A 20,682-nucleotide genomic window follows, 5' to 3' on the forward strand; every position below is an offset into this window, starting at 1 on the left:
CTAATTAGCCATGTGTGGTAGCTTAAAATAAAATCTTTTATGAGACTTGCAAAGTCAATTTAACTTTATCTTTCTAGCTAAAGAGGGAGAGTGCAGCAAGCAACAGTGATAGTATGTAATTTTAATTCAGTTCTTCACAAATAAAGATGAGAACCAATAGAAGGTGAATTTTGAAGCAGGTTTGATTTTTTATTAATGTTCTGTGAATATGGGCCCAAATCTATTATGACCAAGAGTTTATGTCAGATAACCAATGAACATGAGAGGGTCACACTGGGTCAAGGCAAACTTGACCCAAGCTACCTTCCCTCCATAGATGGGGCTTATGCCCAAGACTTTGACTTCTTTTTTTTTTTTTAGAAACTGATGTTTATTTTGCATCAACCATTTTTCCATGTTGCTTAAGAGCCCATGCAAGAACAGCTTAAGACCATTCAGTGGTTTCTCCTACCCATTCAGTGGCCTGAGCAGTGGGAGCTGCAGACCAGTCTTCCGTGGCAGGCTGAGCACTCCAGTCTTCAGTAGGGAACTGCTGAATAGGCACAGAGGGCACCTGCACACCTTCAGACCAGTCTGCAACCTCAGGCTGAGTAGCAGTGAACTCAGGAGCTGGAGCAGTCCATTCACCCTGAAATTCCTCCTTGGTCACTGCCTTTTCAGCAGCAGCCTGCTCTTCTTTTTCAATCTCTTCAGGATCTTTGTAGAAGTAGAGATCAGGCACGACCTCCCATGGGTGTTCATGGGAAATGGTGCCACGCATGCACAGAACTTCCCGAGCCAGCATCCATCACATCAAACCCACTCAGTGAGCTCCCTTGTTGTTGCATGGGATGGCAATGTCCACAAAGTGCAGAGGAGAATCTGTGTTACACAGAGCAATGGTAGGTAGGTTAACATAAGATGCCTCCATGAGAGGCTGGTGGTCAGCCCTGGGGTTAGTAACCACAAGAAGCTGTGGATCTGGTTAGTGAAGTTTCCAGGAGTGAAGCGGCCAGCAATTGGAGTGGCTCCAGTGACAGCAGCAAACTTCAGCACAGCCCTCTGGCCAGTATTCCTGGAGGATATAACACTGACAACAGCAGGGTTTTCAATGGCAACAATGGCACGAGCTGCCAACAGAAGCTTCTCCCAGGTCCTCTTCAGATTTATGATGTAGATGCCATCACTTCTCCTTTTATAGATGTACTGTTCCATCTGGAAGTCAAGATTGGTGCCACCTAAATGGGTTCCTGCTGTAAGGAACTTAAGGACATCCTCCTCCTTCATTTGCAGGACATCAAGGGCTCCGGACATTGTGAAAGTTTCCCTTTAAGTTATGACGGGAATCCAGAACAATGCCGTATGGACCCCTCTGTAGGTAGCATGGAAAGCAAGACTTTAACTTCTAAGCAACATTCTCTCATGCACTGTTGTCCACATTTGCCAGCTATTTAAATCACATTGGAGAGCTGATTAAAATTACAGATTGTCAAGATCACTTCCCTGGAGAATTTGATTCAGTAGATAGCATATGCTCTGGTAACCTCATGATCAAACTAGCATGAGGGTCAGTGCATTAAAAAAACTGAGTAGTTATGATTTGTTTTGAATGGCTGTTCCTCATAGCATTTAGAGCTGAAGGAAAAGCTGATACTTTAAGAATTTATCACACGTTATTCTTAACCACCTTGTATTTTATATCTTCAAAAGTGTAGATATAATTCAAAAAGTGTATTTTGAATTATAATTATATAATCATAATTCTATTGGGGAAAATTATGGAATTGTCAAAAATTTCAAGTTTTTTCTTCATAGACAATTGTTTAAACCTTCTCAGACTTCATTCTCTCTTTATTTTTCCATTTTTCTTTCTTTCTTTTTTTTTGTTGTTGTTGTATGCTTTTCCACTGTTTGACCCTTTGCCTCTTGGTCCAGATACTTCAACAGCACATGCTCAACTCCTCCAAATCACACAAATGCAAGTAATCAAATCTGATTAGTCTCTGTCCTGTCCACTGCATGTCTCCCTTGAGTAACAGTGCTGCCTTTCTCCGAATTGTCTCTCAATAAGTTGGGGCCATGAGCTTCATATAGTAGTTATTAACTCAAAACTAATAGAGAAACATGAAAGCCTGATGGGATGACAAATAGTTCCGTAACTCTTAAAGGAGTATTGGAAAATGCTGTAATTTTTGTAAGGTCCTCTGAGCTGGCCGCACCATGGTCAAGCCATCCTGACATTCTCGTGCCCTTGTGATAATGTACTTTGTGATATTCCCTGTCCTTGTGAATGTAGTTTGTAACATCCATCCCCTGCCTGCAAAAAATTGCTCCTAACTCCACCACCTATCCCAAACCTATAAGAACCAATGATAATCCCACCACCGTTTGCTGACTCCTTTCTCAGACTCAGCCCACCTGCACCCAAGTAAATAAACAGCCTTGTTGCTCACACTGAGCCTGCTCAGGTTACAGATGCGCATAACAATTATGTCTCGATTATATCAAGATTAAATCTAAAGTAGAGCTCAGATCGGATCTATTTTTAAGCCAAATCTCTGCTTGTGGCTAGATGTGGACTGTATGTACGGTCCACTGAATGCTGGTTTAAAATGAGATTGCATATCTTCCATTAGCTGCAATTGTATGGAGTGCTTGAATTTGGTTCATTTTCTAAAATGCTTATCAAAATGATTCTTTCAGATATGCATCCAGCTACAAGTTGATCACACCTTAGTATGTGTCATCACGAGTACAGTCTGGTGAATGGCAAATTACCCTTAATAACAGGAAGATGAAATCTGTTTCCTGTCTTGGCTGGTGACTGGCTGCCACTGTGGCCAAATCCCTTCAACTTCTTCCGCCTCAATTTTTAGCCTACAACCTAAATGAGCTGATGGAAAGCACGTTCTCTATAAAGCAGCTGTCTTCAAAATTCTAAGCATAATCACTTGTGATTGTTATCCAGGCAGTTTAGAAGCAACCGAAAAAGTCAGTTTTGTCCTTCCATTTTTAGCAGAAGTAACAAAAATTAGCAATAATATCCAAGAAGAAATATTCATGGTATATCTTTTCTCTATTTTCTTCTTTTTACAATCCAAAAGATTTTTTGTTTCTTCCCTTTATAACACAAATTCATAGGGAATAGAACATTCTATAAAACTTTACATAAGCTTGGAAGAGACTGCTAAATCTGTGAACCCCCAAAAGGGGATAACTCCCAATGCCTATATATATATCAATGTGGTCATGGGTGCCACAAGTGGCTTCCACACTACCTGTAAGTTTGAGGTTTTTCCTAATGCTGAATGCAAATCTGCTATACTACAGGTTTCATTCACTGGAAGATGAATGAAATTTATTTATATATTTGTTTATTTAGTGCTCTTAGGAAATGATTAGGAAATGTTTATTTAATGCTCTTAGGAAATAGAAAATGCTCATTACTTAGGAAAGTGCACACAATTATAGGACAAAATAAAATTTAAATGAGGCAAGTTAGGAAGTTGGAGAACATAAAAAGGAAAATAAAGTAAAACCAGAAACTAAATTATTGCATAAAAGACTTTCCCTGATCTTGTAAATTTACTAAGAATGGGACATCAATTTGCCTCTGAGATTCTGGCAGCTACCCATTGGTCTGACTTTTGCTCCCTGAAGCTACACTTAATAAATCAAGTCTCCCTTCCACAAGCATGTCCCACAGATACACAAAAAGAAGTACTGAGTCCTTTAGGCTAAATCAAAATGAATAATTTTACCTATTGCCCAGAAAACATTATTAATTTACTTAACCTTTGTAAGAAAATTCTAGTCAGCTCTATTGCCTCTATGCTTGAGACTCTAGGGCATTTGACTTCCTAACCTCATTCCACTTAACTTTTCGTTAAGTAGAGCACGTTTTCACATGGAAATTGAGCCATTTGTAGGAGAATAGTGGAACTGACAATAGCGAGGCCACAGTGGTAGCCAAGTCCACTTTTAAAACTTTCTTTCCTGACCTAAATAAAGTCAAGACCCATTTTTACATTCCCTTCCAGTGACCCACAATAGGCAGCATAGAGAGTCGTTACCTACCTGGGGGATTAAGTAGTTATTTGCCTTCCTGACTTGATAGAATTGCACTGAAACCCTGCAAAGTGAAAGGAAACTATCCTATTTTAATTGTTTTGGCAAAGGGGATTATCTGTGGGAACTCCTTGGATATTAGAGTGATCTGGCTCTAATATCCGTCATCCTTACAATGTCAGCATTGTGGTTCAATACATTTGGCTGTTAGACGGGCTAAGACTTTTTCTCCTTCTATTCTGTGTATATTCTTGCCCAAATATGGCATTTGGTGAAGAAGACATCAGAAAAATCACAGAAATGTCTGAACTCCTATGCTCAAACCTCCAGCGAACGTCAAAACACATATCTGAGCAAGATAAACTGTAAAATCTGTTACTCTATGGTTAGCAGGATTAAATCTTGCCTTAGCCTTTAAATTGTGAAAAGTTTATCTTCAGGCCCATGCACAAGTCTACTTGCCTGCTGCCACAGCCAGCAAGAAACAACCAGTGTTTCTGTCTCCATGAACCCAGAACATATAAGTGAATCACACACCACTTTAAATATGTTAAATACCCCTCAAATCAAGTGGCAATTCCCATCAGCCAGCTGTGATCTGCATCTAATTCATCACCAACTTCTTCTCAGATACCATTCAATTAGGCATTCTAGAAAGATTCAAGATGAACCAAACACCGCAGAGATCAGAGCTAAATATGCTTCCCAAGGTTGTATCCTAAGTAACTCGGGTTTGGAAGTCAAGAGAGACAAAAATATTGGCATAACTCCACTGTGAACTAATCACACCTTTTAAGCACCTTCATATTACCATCAGAGCTCTAGTATCAAAGATTTTACAAAGGTATCTCCTGGAATTCATTTTCACCTCCAACCTCTCAGAAATGAGTGACCGAAAATTGTAAAACCATTTTTGTTATTCAGAGAGGTGATGGTGTCCTCAACGATTAAGGCAGCCTTTGGTTGTCTTGGCAACAAGATGCAAGGGAAAGCCCAGAATGTAAGCACTTCTCTTATATCCTGTTTTTGGCCCTGGTACACTGACTTTCTTCAGCATCTAGCTGCCAGAGCAAGTGGCAAGTTGCCATTTTTTTATATTGCCATATCAATATGATGTTTTGAGAGAGAGCTACCTTACTTTTGATCAAGAGATATCAGGCCTCTGATATTTACTCGTGATACTTTGAAAAATCCCTGTTAAGTGCAAAGACTGAAAAAGAATAAAATAAAGCAATCAGAACTTCAGGAAGGTAAATAAATATAATTATACAAGAAAAGCATGATCCAAATAAAAGGCAAGCTACAACAGAGCAGAATGAATTTGAGTGACTGGTAAAATATATACCAAAAACTTGAACTTGATACTAGGACTGGTATATTTTGTGAGTCACAAAGGTTATGACATTGAAACTGTAGAAAAGGATATGTAATCATAATAAACTACTTGGCTATGTAGATAACAATGCTGACTTCTCATAATGATGTAAGCAATTTTACTTTTCAACTTTTAAGATTAGTGTATGGACAAATCACAAAGGCCATCAAACTTGAACTTGCATATGTTATTTTAAGTTCCCAGGTAGAAGCAATAAAAATAGGTAAAGGAAATAGGTCCTCATCTTCCAGGGTGGGGAACAAAATATTCTATATAAAAATAAGAAATGAATATTTAAATTATGTGGCTAGAATTTGAAGTAAAGAAATAAACCTTATTGGTTATATATGCTTTCCTACTTAATGCAATACGCTGGAGAGTATATATAAGCAATAAGTTTCATATATATATGCAATAAGTAAGATAGCAGAATATTTGCATTTCATATAGTAGGAGGTAAATTTTAAAATAATTTCTAAAGTATATGTTTTGAATAGCAGTTATAGTGCATGGTTAACAGAGTTATGGAGGCAACCAGCAGATGAACTAAATTAAAAAATTCTAAGAAACACTTCCTTCTGATAAGTGGTGCTAAAAATGCAGAAGGATAAGTAGGACTCTGTCACTTTTCTGCTATAAAATTTTCTGTATTATTTTACTTCTTACAATATCCATGTAACAAGATGTTTTCAGTGCTATCTTTGCCTATTTACTCTCTACAGTCAACAGAAATCCAGATAGATAAGTAATTATCATTGAAGTAGAAACTGAGGGAGGGCTCAAGAACCTCGTCCTGAGAGTCAAGGAAAGGTCTCTAACATTCAGATTAAGGACATGGTTGAGTTGTTTCATTTAAAATGTTATAGCTTTCTGATTTTTAACAAACACCGAGACAATTTTAGATTAAAGTTAGAAGTGCCACCACATTTAGTATAAAACTTTTAAGGCCTACAGATCAATTCATGCTTCTAACCATCCCACACAGCCTTTCTGCAATGAAAATGTGATCGCACTATGATAGAACCTTGACAAAGAAATGTGTTTAAGAACATATAGTGATAATATCACAATTTTCTTACTTGCGCAACATACAGACTCCTAAAGCCTTAAATATCTTTATGTTTACTATTAACTTATCCAAATTGTAAATGAGGGAGATTGGAAAGAGCACAATTTATTTCACTCAAAATCAAGTGACTCCTTTTAAGGTCATGTGGCCAATAGAGAGTCCAGGCCTTAAGTAAAAATGATTTGATTCAAATTCAGTATTTGGTTTGCTAATCTCAGACTCACAGCAACTATAGTTACTCTTTATTGAACACTAATTATAAGCTAATTTTTATACATCTATTAGCCCATTTTTTTCCTCATATTGTGCAATTATTATACTCATTTACCGATAAGAAAACTGGGAAATAAAGAAATGAATTTATACAAGTGGGCTTAGCTAGTATGTGAAAAATTTAGGATCTCAACACAGAAATCACTGGCATAACATAAGATCAGATTGGAAGAGACCTATAAAACTTCTCAGCCTAACTTATTTATTTTATAATAGGAAAAAATCCTGGATCATAGAGGAAAATTAACTTGTCCAAAATTACACAGCTGGTTAGTGACAGAGCCAAGACTAGAACCCACGGATTCTGGCATCCAATCTAATTCTCTTTCACCACAGAAGGTCAGAAAATGTTAAACTTTGTGAAACTCTACAACCCATCTGGGTTTTTTTTTAAGTGCCAGAATTGTAAGTCTTCATAATAAGTTAACTTGGGATCTAGAGAAATTTAATATCATCACACTTTCACATTTGTCAGGGCCATGAGATTTAATGAAAACACAGCACCCAATGATGCTACAATTTTTCATACTCAACAGTGCAACAAAAAATCCACTTAACCATCTTTGTAGGGACACCGCAAAGTCATCAAAAGAAGCATCTGTCATTCAGATGCCTTCCATGTTGAAGAAATGTTTCTTAGAATTAACTAATGATTAGAACCAAAAGTAAAACTTGTAGATAGGGAAATTCATGTATAAGAAAATTAAAACACAAAATCAAGAATTCAATCCAGATGTCTATCTGGTACACTCTTAATAAAAGTGCTTTAAGTTGGCTTAGGCAGTAAATAAAAAAAAAAAAAGAAACAATTTACTGCTTCCTGCTCTGGCCTCCAAGGTTGTGAATACTGACTTTTAAATATTAGAATGTCTTATGAAGATTTCTCTTCAGCTCAGGAAAAAATTCTATTTTAACTGTATCATCTATCAAATAAGATAATAATTATTAAAAGTAAGCATTGCAAACTGGTTGGCTCACCAGCTGAATTTGGGCCATGGAAAAGTATTTTTTGGAGGTCTGCACTCTCTAGTTCACCACTGCTCTCACCAAGACCATTCTTACATGCTTAGCACCTAGTCTCTACAAACATTTTAATTGGTGATTCCCCCTAAAGCAACACATAGCTCTCCTTCTTCAAGTTCTAAATTTAAAAGCCCTTAGAAAATGTAGTTACTATGTTAGACATTTTTCTACTTAGGAAAAATAGTCAAGGAGAGAAAATCTTAAGCCTTCAATACCCCTTTTAGGTGTGTTTTTCTTTCTGTCTTCATCACCCGTTTTTATGTCTCAAAATGTCCACATCCCAGGGTCCTTGATTTTGGCCTTCACATAATGTTTTTCTTGACTCTTAAATTCCATATAAAACTTATCAGAACACAGTCCTAATCCCTAAGCAAACTAAACCACCAATTTCCAAAATTTACTACTCCAATTGATACATCAATAATCAAGATGATAATATATTGATGTATTCTTCATTCAGATAACTTAAAGTAGAATAGTGAAACTTCAGAAACACATACTTTTATCCCAAAGGACTTTCAAAATTTTAGAAACTATGGCAGTTCAAAAAAAGGAGGCATTTTTTCAGAAGCAGCAGGCCTACCCATTGGCAAGCCCTGCTGACATGAAATGAAAAGAGAATGTTTCACAATAATCAGTTTCTGTTAATAATGAAAGACAAGATCAAACACTTCATTCATAGTGAACAGAGCACAAACTCACCATAATTTCATTTAAATATTCCAGCCAGCTGTGGTGGCTCATGCCTGTAATCCCAGCATTTGGGAGGCCAAGGTGGGTGGATCACTTGAGGCCAGGAGTTTGAGACCAGCCAGGCCAACATGGCGAAACTCCGTCCTACTAAAAATACAAAAAAGTATCCAGGGATGATGGCACATGCCTATAATCCCAGCTACTTGCGAGGGTGAGGCATGAGAATTGCTTGAACTCAGGAGGCAGAGGTTACAGTGAGCTGGGATCATGCCACTGCACTCCAGCCTGGGTGACAAAGCAAGACCCTGTCTCAAAAAAAAAAAAAAATCTGCAACAGCTACCAAATGACCTATTTCTAATCCATATCTGATGACAAGTTATTTTAATGTATTTGTGACAAATAAAAACTCCCTGTGATGGCACCAGCGTGCTTGGTGGGAGAGAAAGAGGAACATCATAGGCAAGCACCCAAACTTGAGAGACACAGTTCTTTCATGCCAACAAAGATGGAAAACAGTATTCTAGCTAGATCTTATTAGAAATGCCACGTGTTTCTTTGAATAAACTGTTGACCAGTGAAGTAAGTACTCAGTAGAAGAATCCACTCTTTACATCGTGCTTCAATCTTCTTACTTTTCATATATTTTGTAAATAACAAGGCATTTTGAAATCTCTATTATGTGTGTGGCTACATTGTATTAGATACTAAGGGGACGTCCTTTTTCTGGAGAAATGTAACAGTCACTTTGGAAGAACATGATTATATATGGAAACATTAATCTGTAAGTAAGTGCTTATTTAACACAGATAAATTTTGCTGAATTCAAAGAAGAGATAAATTAATGTGTCCTGAAACATTCACCTACACCAAAAGTTGAGAACAGGCAGGTCCCTGCATATATGAGAATGCTCAACAACCAAAAGAAGCTTTGAACTCATAATTCATGACTTGCTTTTACCTATATAACTTCTTCAAGGTCAATCCAAGTGGTTTTGTGTAGGAATAGTTTCCTTTTATCACTGAATAGTTTTCCATGCTATGGGTGTACCACAGTGCCAGCATTTGATGTTATTATGTTTCATTGTGGCCATTCTGATAGGTGTGTAACAGTATCTGATTGTGATTTTAATTTGCATTGTCTATTGGCTAATGATGTTGAACATCTTATGTGCTTATTTGTCATGTATTCTCTTTGGTAAAATGTTTGTGCATGTTTTATCCTGTTTTCAAATTGAATGTTTTTCTACATCTCACTCCCCCCTCCACCTCTGCCTCATCTTAAATTTCTTTAATTATCACCCCAGGTGATTCTGATGTACAGTTATATTTAAAAATTAGAGCCTCAGGGACAGGAAGAAGAGAGGAAGAACCTGAGTGGACAGCCAAATGACCTGCTCCAATCATCGAGAGGACACTGTCACTAAAGGATGAAGGAAAGGGAGATGAGAAAATGGGAAAGGATCTCAGGAAGAAAATGGAAAGGTCCGAGTTAAATGTGATTTACTTTGCAATGTTATTCAGCTAACTGTGCTGATACTGAAAGTCACCCTAAAAAGCATGTGCTCTTGGGGGACTCGGCAGAGTTAGGCTATCATCTTCCCAAAGGTATGAACCTGAGACAAGTAGCCTTTCAAGGTTTTTTTCCCCATATCTGTGGTTATGATGGCTGTGGGAGAGTCAGGTGGAAGGTGTACTGAAGCCAGAGCTGCTAGCAAGAACAAGTAACTGCCAAAGTTGGTACATTTCACCTAACCTCATACCTCTTGGATCTTATTTTGTTCCTACAAGAGATGCTTATGCCATCAGCTGAAAACTTCACTGACATACTCACTGTGAAATAATTGAAGAGAAAGGAAGGGACAAAACTCTGAGGTTTTGTACAAGTGTCACAGGAAACAAAGTGAAATGTTGGACTGCAGGAATCTGAGACCAAACTGCTGCTCTGGTCTTGAACAGCTGTTCACCTAGAGAGCTCACTGTGCAGTTGTTCCTGATGGCCAGCTTCATTTTTTTGAAGAAGTTTTATTAAGAAGAGTTTTATTAAGAAGTAAACTGGACAGATTACTAGACTGCTTTAGCAAAGGTTAAAACAGCCAACATGGAGTCTCCTGGTGGTAATTTAAAGAGCTGATGACAGACTTTATCTAAGCATGCTAACCTTAAGAGTTTAGATTTTCTACTTCCATCATCAACTTCCTTTTTATTTCTATTAGAGTCTGGGAAGGTTTTATCCCCACCACAACCTCAACCCCCAGCCAATGAGACCTACCTGGGCAGGCTTGGGAGGGTCTCAGCAACTCAAAAGCAGTCAAATATTTTGTTTTGCTTTTTTCTCAAATATCAGTCAGAAGAAAAAGTGACCTTTTAGGAGCAAAGTTTCATAAAGAATGTGTAGACTATGTCCCTTTTACCCAGGTTATTAGGCCATTCTTGCATTGCTATAGAGAAATACCTGAGACTGGGCAATTTATAAAGAAAAAAGGTTTAATTGGCTTATGATTCTGCAGATTGACAGGAGGCATGGTGCTGGCATCTGCTCAGCTTCTGGGGAGGCCTCAGGAAACTTACAATTATGGTGGAAGGTGAGTCTTACACAGCAGTAGTAGGAGCAAGAGAGAGAAGGGAGAGGGGCTACACACTCTTAAACAACCAGATCTCATGAGAACTCACCTACTGTCAATAACACAGTACCAAGAGGGATGAAGCTAAACCATTCATGAGAAACCCACCCCCATGATCCAGTTACCTCCCACCAGGCCCCACCTCCAACATTGGGGATTACAATTTGACATGAGATTTAGGTAGGGACACATTTCCAAATTATATCACCTAATAGTACCCAATTGGATCAAACACATTTCAGAAGCTGTTTCAGCAAAGATTTAGAACAAAGCAACTCCCTCAGCCTATGGGAATAGCATGTCAAACCTTAAGGAGAAGGTAAGGCATCTTTTTTATTAAATTTCAGGCTGGAAATTCTTTCATGAGTCAAGTTTTTGTTGCTTTTTTTTTTTTTAACAGCTTCCTGTTTCATCCAACCAGCCACTACTTTAACCAAGTTTAGCATAATTGCCAAAAGAGAAATTCCTCAAACCATCAGCAGCATTAATTAGCTTTGACTGTAACTTTTCAAGAACAAATTGTCATCATGTAGGGCAGCAAGTTCCACAGTTTCTCTGTGAAGAAAAAAATTAGGCAGCATCTGAAGGGAACGTCAAAAATGAATTCTCTACTCAAGGCTTACTTTCATGGACAGCATAGATCTAACCTGTTGACTTGAACATCGCTTAGTATCAGCAAGTAATAAAAGGGGAAAGAAAGGAAGCAGAAAACATAAAGAAAGGTGGGGGAAAGGGAAAGCAAAGACCAGTGAAAAGATCAATTTGAACATAGGATGTTTATGCTAAATAGATTATCAGTTTCCAGGAGCCTTGCAGATCCAGGTATTTAATATATCTACATTATGTATTGACAGAAAAGTCATGCCCATGGATGCTTGGTATTCATTATAGTAGTATTTGTATCTCATATCATTATAAAGAGAAAATGAAACAACTTACTATAAATACATTAAATTAATGGATATAATTGGGGAGAGAGTTGGGGTTTGTTTGATTGAGTGGATATATTAGCCATTAAACAGAATGGAGAAAGCAACTCTCCCTCCAAGTCAAAATAGGTTGCTAAAAGGATGAGATTCAAGAAAAGTAAGAGATGATGCCTTTCCAACTCAATGACATTAGGAATAGTGTTCACGACACATGGTCCTCTGTTTAATGAGAATAGCTACTTACCATCATGACTTCCAGAAAAAAAAAAAAAAAAGGGTCAAGAGCTCTGGCTCAAGGAGGCAGGATCTAGGCTTTAAGTCCCTAGAGGGCAGGCTCTATGGCCATCTGCCTTCACTCCTGAATTACTGGCACATAGTAAAAGTCTTGGAATGTCACAAATATTCAGTAGACAAGAGTCAATGACCCAGACAGCTAGGAAAGAATTCCCCTAAAAGTCAGCCCATATTCCCAAGACCTGGGGAATTTGAAGGAATTGGAAGATGTAAGAAAAAATAAATAAATAAAAACATGCTCTGTAGGAAAAGAAATTAAGAGTTGTAGATTATGAAGTGATGATTTGAATAGATTTTGCAGACTGAAGATTCTTGGGTATTGCTAATGTCTACATCCATTTGGTATGTTGCAAGTTTTTACATATGTATATATATGTGTAAATATGTATATATGTGTAAATATATATGTATATATGTATAAAATACATCTATATCTAGTATAGAGTATTAGAATTAAATTTCTTAATTACTTTGTGAATAGACTGCTTACCCTGTGTTTCAAATGTTATACAGAATTTTAGTATAGTTGATTCTGATACCCTGAAATACTCCATGAAACAAATTGCTTGGTGAAATTGATACAAAATTAAATAGATCATGATCATAAAATTGTTGTTTCACTCTGTACCAAGGAAAATTAAATAGAGATAAAAGTGGAGTAAATAAGTAGCATACACAGACCATGACCAGAAAATGCACACATTCATGCCACCACTCTCGGATTCCCACTGATGGCAGAGTAAGGAATCCATCACAGCTCTCTCCCATTTGAGTATGCGTGCTACACCTAACTCTCTGGCTGGTGCTCTAGACATCTGTAAATAACTGATTGGGATTACTGTGGAGGTTAAAACTTCATCACAATCCCAGACTTTAGCCGTAAGATCTAAGTAACTGCTAAAATAAAGCAACCCACATATTTAGCGCTATGCTTTCTAGTAGCCCAGCAAAAAAAAAAAAAAAAAAAAAAAAAAGTATGCTGTGTAGTTTTTATTGGCAAAAAAGATAAAATCAAAAGTTTCTAAAGGAAGCAAATGATTTTTAAAAAATATTTTTTCTATAAAATAAATTTCCGATGCAGGCTTTTTTTTTATAGGGACACAATATTTTCAAAAATATTTCTATAGAAAATGTAACAGGTTTCATATCGTCTTAGAATATCATTCAGTTGACCAACATATGATATGAGAGCATTGCATTTTGACCTCTGGATCCAGAGGCTGTGCAAATTCAAGGAGAGAGCAGAGAACATTTAGAGAAATAATTGGCTTCTGTGTCCTTCAAACACCACTTCTCTCACTATATTTTTGATAACAGTTTGATATCTGCAAACTGCTATTCCCTATTTTTTATTCTCATTAGAGATTACATTGCTATTTTTTAATAGAAAATAAAGGGCACAATCAAGATTTCTCAAGGAATTCTTCCTTGCAGGAAGGTGGGTGATGAAAAACCTTATCGATTTCAAAAGAGTTATTGAACACTTAAAATGTAGCAACTGCTGTGGTAGCCACCACAGGAACAAAGATAAACAAAACAAAAATTCAGGATGTTGATGAGTTAAAGAATGAATGAAGATGAGTAAATGCAGACCCAGTGAAACACAGATTACTCTTGCAAGACACTTGACCTCAAAGAAAAGGAGCAATAGTTAAAGGTGAATGCAAGTCAGGTTCACTTAAATCATATTATGGAAATGCCCAAAACATAAAATTACCAATCTGTCCAAATTATATCCTCAATGTCTGTGATGCCCTAGCCTCTAGCATCACAGTGTCCTAGTATGAAATCATAAAAGTGACAATTTAAAAAATAATAATAAAAGACAATATATTTAAAACAAGGTATCCTTTGAGCAGAAGCTAGCTATGCAATTATTTACATTGTAATACTCTCAAAATAGTGTGAGTTGGAACTAAGCATAATAAAAAATGATCCTCAAGAGAATAATATTCAAAGAATAAAATGACATCTATACTGTTACATTAAAAAGTACACCTCAGAAAGCATAAGTTTTATCTGGTCCAGTCTCTTCATTTTTTAAAATTTAATTTTTTTATAGATTTAGGAGGCATAAGTACAGTTCTATTATTATATGGTTATATTGCATAATGGTGAAGTCTGGGCTTTTAGTGTAATCATCACCCAAATAGTGTCCATTATACCCAATAGGCAGTTTACTTCTCATCCCCTACCCCTCTCTCACCTGCCACCTTTTGGAGTCTTCAATGTCTATTATTCTACTTTGTATGTACAAGTGTACACATTGTTTAGTTCCCACTTAAAAGTAAGAATATGTGATATTTGACTTTGTTTCTGAGTTATTTCACTTACGATAATAGCTTCCAGTTTCACGTTGCTGCAAAAGACATGATTTTATCATTTTATGGCTGAGTAGTAATCTATGGTTTATATATACCACATTTTCTTTATTCAATCATACATGATGGACACAGGTTGATTCCATGACTTTGCTATTGTGAATAGCGCTTCTATAAGCATATGATTGCTGATGTCTTTTTTACATAATAATTTGTTTTCTTTTGGGTAGAAACCCAGCAGTGAGATTGCCTCATGGAATGGTAATTCTACTTTTAGTTATTTGAGAAACTTTGTTTTCCACAGAGGCAGTACTGATCTACATTCACACCAACAGTGTATAAGTGTTTCCTTTTGTCTGCATCTTTGCCAACATCTGTTATTTTTTTGACATTTTAATAGTAGTCATTCTGAATGGTATAAGATGATATCTCATTATGCTTTTAATTTACATTTCTCTGATGATTAGTGATGTTGAGCATTTTCTCGTATGTTTCTTGGCCACTTGAATGTCTTCTTTTGAAAATGTCTGTTCCTGTCCTTCGCTCACTTCTTAATGAGGCTGTTTTTTTCTTACTGAGTTGTTTGAGATCTTTGTATATTCTGGATATTAGTCCTTTTTATTTAATACTGTGGAAAAGTGATGTTGGTAAATTGATAGGAATTTCATTGAATCCATAGATAACTTTGGGTGATATGGTCATTTTAATGATATTGATTCTTCCAATCCATGAGCATGTGATTCTTTCCATTTTTTTGTATCATCTATAATTTATTTCACAGTATTTTACAGTTCTCCTTGTAGAGATCCTTCACCTGCTTGCTTAAAGGTATTACTAGGTACTTTTTTCTGTAGCTATTGTAAATGGGATTGAGCCCTCGATTTGGTTCTCTGCTTTATTGTTATTGGTGTATAGAAATGCTAATGATTTTTGCACATTGAATTTGGATCCTGAAACTTTACTGTTCATTTAAATATAATTCTTAGAAGATGACATTCCTGCTCTATTGCTTTCTACCTGCCTGAATAGTCTTATATTTATTGAATACTGAACTTTCAAGGAATTTTAAGAGGTAAAGTCCTGGACCTTCCTTAGAAAAGAGAAAGAAGAATGGAGGCTAGTCTTTAAAGATTTGCATTTTCAGGACAAAAATACAGCTTGGGATGAATTATACAAAGACTTCTGAGTGTTCCATGGGATAATGTGACATATTAAAAAATATGAAAATCCTATCATATTGGCTTTCCATTGTTATAATAATAAATTACCACAAACGTAGTGGCTTAAAACAATAGAAATTTATTATCTTACAGTCTTGGAGGCTAGAAGTGTGAAGTCAGTTTCATTTGGCTTAAGTCAAGATGTCAGCAGAGCCATGCTCCCTCTGGAAACTCAGGGAAGAATTAGTTTCACTTCCTTTTCCAGGTTCTAAAGATCACCTGCATTCCTTGGCTTGTGACCTCTTTCTCCATCTTGAAAGCTAGCAGCATAGCATCTTCAAATGTCTCTCTGCTTCCATCACATTCCCTTCTTCTGTGTAGCAAAATTTCAATCACTGTCTTTCTCTCTCTCCCCGCCCCCTCCCCCCGCCTCCCTCTTAGCAACAATGTTTTATTGAGCAACGTATTAAGCACTGTATTAGTTCCCATGGATACAGAGTGAGTGAAATCAACATGATTCCTTCCTTCAGGAAGCAGAGGTCATGCCTGGGACAAGTAATTCCCAAATATTTCTTTAGAAAATGTAATCTGTTCCTTACCAACTGTATCTTGATCATATCTTTTTTGGAATTGAATATTGTTTTCACATTCTTCTTTTTTCTTAAAATCATCCGTTTCTTCTGTGCTTTCTTCTCTTTTGCTTTTAAATCAACATTTTCAAAAACCTTTACTTGACTCTGCTGGCTTATGTAACGTCATCTTCTTTCCTTTGCTACAGTGAGAGAAGTGGTCTGAATTTGGTTTCCTAACTTCTCATCATCCTTTAACTTCTGCAGTCCCACTTGTTCCTGATTCTCAAATTACACTTTCTCCCGTGGTCATCAGAGACCTTTCCTTAGTCTTCCCTGTGGAATCTGATGTCATTCACACTGCTCCCTCCCCAACATGTAAACTTCCCCTCTTCTCCCAGAATACTTTTTAAAATTATTGTGGTAAGATCACTTAATATGTCTATCCTCTCAACACATTTTTAAAAATACAATACAATTGACCCTTGAAAAACATGGGGGTTCAGAGTGTCAATCCCCCCAAAACACAGTCAAAAATCCATGTAAAACTTTTGACTCTTCCAAAACATAACTACTAATAGCCTACTGTTGACTGGAAGCCTTATCCATAACATAAATAGTTGATTCACACATATTTTATATGTTATATATATTATATACTGTATTCTTACAATAAAGTAAGCTGGACAAAAGAAAATGGTATTAAGAAGATTATAAGGACAAAAACATATTTACTATTCATGAAGTGAAAGTGGATCATGCTCATCTTCACACTGAGTAGACTGAGGAGGAGGAGGAAGAAGAGGGGTTGGTCTTGTTGTCTCAGTGGTAGTAAAGGCAAACGAAAATCTGCATCTAAGTAGACCTGCACAGTTCAAACCCATGTTATTCAAATATCAATTGTGCATTACATTTTTGCCTTTCTCCTATAAGGACACTTGTGATTACATTAAGGGCCCACCCACAAAGTACAAGATAATCACACTATCTCAAGATCCTTACCTTAAACAGATCTGCAATAAGGTAATATTCACAGGTTCTATCTAACACATAGATACCTTTGGGGGCCACCTACCACACTTATCAAGGGAAACACATATTTCAAAAATCCATTGAGATTGTTCCAAATAACATGTATGTTCCACAGAACATATTCCTACTGTGTTATGATGGAGATGATATAATACAAATAGCAAAAGGTAATGGTGGATTGATTTAATATATTAGAATGTTCATGCATTATTCTTTGCCATTTAACCAAGTCATCTCACCTAGTATATAAACATAAGTAAATTATAAGAAGGAAATAAAGAAATAAATATGAGAAAAAAACCTCAATTGGTAGATGATGAAATGAGACCCATATAATTCATAAATTGCTCAAGTGCATATATTCACAGTATAGTATCAGCAAACTTGAATTCAAGGCAATTGACAACACATCCCAGAGGGTTTCTTGTATTATCAGCAAAATTATTTTTGTTCTTCAGTAATTTTATTCTAGTTACCAAAATGATCTATTAGAAAAATATTCTGGAAAGCACAAAGAATAACAATAATAATTATTCATAATTCTACCATTCAAAGATAAACAGAGTTAGCATCACAGAGAATATCTTTCTTCTAATTATATGTATATTTATATCTTTATATAAATATACACACACTTGGAATCATAATGTACAAACTTAAAAGTTACTTTTTTTCACTCCACAATATAATGAACATTTTCTCCTATATTCTTCTACAACACACTTTTTAACAGCTACATTAATATTCTACAAGGTGGCTGCACCATAATTTATTTATATAATGCTTTATTGTTGAAAACAGCTTTTTTTGTTCTTATCCATTGTTGCAATAACACTCATGCATATGCCTGGTTATTTGTTCTAAATAGCCTAGAAGTAAAATTGTTGGGTCATGGGATATAAATAATCTGTTTTCCATGCTTATTCCTACCCATTCTTCTAGAACCACATTTCACATCATGGTCTCTGTCATGCATTTGCTGATCCACTGTCCATTCCCAATCCACAGGCAGAAGCAGCATCACTTTGTACTTTCCTACAGTGTACATTATAGCTGCCTCTACATACTAAACATAGAGTACACCATTATATTATTTTTAATTTTTTATTTTCTTGGGTACATAGTAGGTGTACATATTTATGGGGTACATGAGATATTTTAATACAAGCATGTAATGCATAATAATCACATCAGAGTAAATGGGGTATCCATCAACTGAAGCATTTATCCTTTGTGTTACAATCTAATTGTACGCTTTTAGTTATTTTTAAATGTACAATTAAATTATTTTTTAAAATAGTCACCCTGTTGTGCTAGCAAATACTAGGTCTTATATTATACATTTTTTCAAACTATGTTTTGTACCCATTAACCATCCCCGCTTGTCCCCTACCCACTCCTCTCTACCACCCTTCCCAGTCTCTGGTAATTATGCTTCTACTGTCTATCTCCATGAGTTCAATTGTTTTAATTTTTAGCTCCCACAAATGAGTGAGAACAAGTGAAGTTTGTCTTTCTCTGCCTGGCTTATTTCACTTAACATGGTAACCTCCAGTTTCATCCATGTTGTTGCAAATGACAGGATCTCATTTTATTTTTTGATGGCTGAATAGTACTTCATTGTGTATATGTACCAAACTTTCTTTACCAATTCATCTGTTGATGGACACTTAGGTTACTTCCAAATCTTGGAATATTCACTATTGTGAGTAGCACTGCAATAAACAGAGTACAGGTATCTTTTGACATACTGATTTCCTTTCATTTGGGTATATATCTAGTAGCTGCATTGCCAGATCATATGGTACTTCTATTTTCAGTTTTTTTGAAGAATCTCTAAACGGTTTTCCATAGTGGTTGTAATAATTCATATTCCCACCAACAGTGTATGAGGGTTCCCGTTTCTGGACATTCCTGTCAGCATTTGTTATTGCCTGTCTATTGGGTATAAGCCATTTTAACTGGGGAAGATAATATCACACTGTAGTCTTGATTTGCATTTCTCTGATGATCAGTGATGTTGAGCACCTTTTCATATACCTATTCACCCTTTACATGTCTCCTTTTGAGAAATGTCTATAGAGATCTTTTGCCCATTTTTTAAATGAATTATTAGATTTTTTTTTTGTATAGACTTGTTTGAGCTCTTTATCCATTCTGGTTATTAATCCCTTGTCAGATGGATAGTTTGCAAATATTTTCTTCCATGTTTTGGGTTGTCTCTTTACTTCGTTGATTGTTCCCTTTGTTATGCAAACGTTTTTTAACTTAATGTGAACCATTAACCATTAATCATTGTCCATTTTTGCTTTCATCGCCTCTGCTTATGGAGTATTACTCAAGAAATCCGTGCCCAGTCCAATGTCCTGGAGAGTGTCCTCAATGTTTCCTTGAAGTAGTTTCATAGTTTGAGGTCTCAGATGTAAGTTGTTTGTTTGTTTGTTTGTTTGTTTGTTTGTTTTTGAGACAGAGGCTTGCTCTGCCATGCAGGCTGGAGTGCAGTGGAGTGATCTCAGCTCACTGCAACCTCTGCCTCCCGGGTTCAAGTGATTCTCCTGCCTCAGCCTCCTGAATAGTGGGGATTACAGGCACGTGCCACCACGCCCAGCTGATTTTTGTATTTTTAGTAGATACGGGGTTTCACCATGTTGGTCAGGATGATCTCAAACTCCTGACCTTGTGATCCACAGACCTCGGCCTTCCAAAGTGCTGGGATTACAGGCGTGACCCACCATGCCAGGCTGATTCTATTTTTGCATAAGGTGAGAGATAGGGGTCTAGTTTCACTCTTCTCCCTATGGATATCCTGTTTTCCCCAGTGCCATTTATTGAAGAGACTGTCCTTTCTGCAGTGTATGCTCTTGGAAACTGTAAAAAATGAATTCACTGTAGATGTATGGATTTATTTCTGGGTTCTCTATTCCATTCCACTAGTATATGTGTTTGTTTCTATGCCAGTACCATGCCATTTTGGTTACTATAGCTTTGCAGTATAATTTGAAGTCAGGTAATGTGATCTTGCCAGTTTTGTTCCTTTTGCTTAGGATAGCTTTGTCTATTCTGGTTTTTTTGTGGTTCCATATACATTTTAGGATTTTTTTTTTCTATTTCTGTGAAGAGTATCCTTGGTACTTTCACAGGGATTGCATTGATTCTGTAGATTGCCTTGGGTAGAACAGACATTTTAACAATATTGATTCTTCCAATCCATGAACATGGAATATTTTTCCATTTTTTAAATATGTCCTCTTCAATTTCTTTCATTAGTTTTTTAT

At 36.4% G+C, this 20,682-nt stretch overlaps 1 pseudogene, besides 1 other annotated feature; it reads right to left on the reverse strand.

Annotated features, from left to right (window-relative positions):
- Nucleotides 355-1,369, reverse strand: RPSAP29 (ribosomal protein SA pseudogene 29; annotated as a pseudogene).
- Nucleotides 3,462-4,038: an enhancer, noted in NCBI's record as "OCT4-NANOG-H3K27ac hESC enhancer chr3:110404170-110404746 (GRCh37/hg19 assembly coordinates)". NCBI's record gives its function as "activates a minimal SCP1, AML or CMV promoter by ChIP-STARR-seq in naive H9 embryonic stem cells {active_cell/tissue: H9 hESC(naive)}" and the evidence as "EXISTENCE:reporter gene assay evidence [ECO:0000049][PMID:30033119]".

Source organism: Homo sapiens, chromosome 3, assembly GCF_000001405.40.
Source record: "Homo sapiens chromosome 3, GRCh38.p14 Primary Assembly".
NCBI lineage: Eukaryota > Metazoa > Chordata > Mammalia > Primates > Hominidae > Homo > Homo sapiens.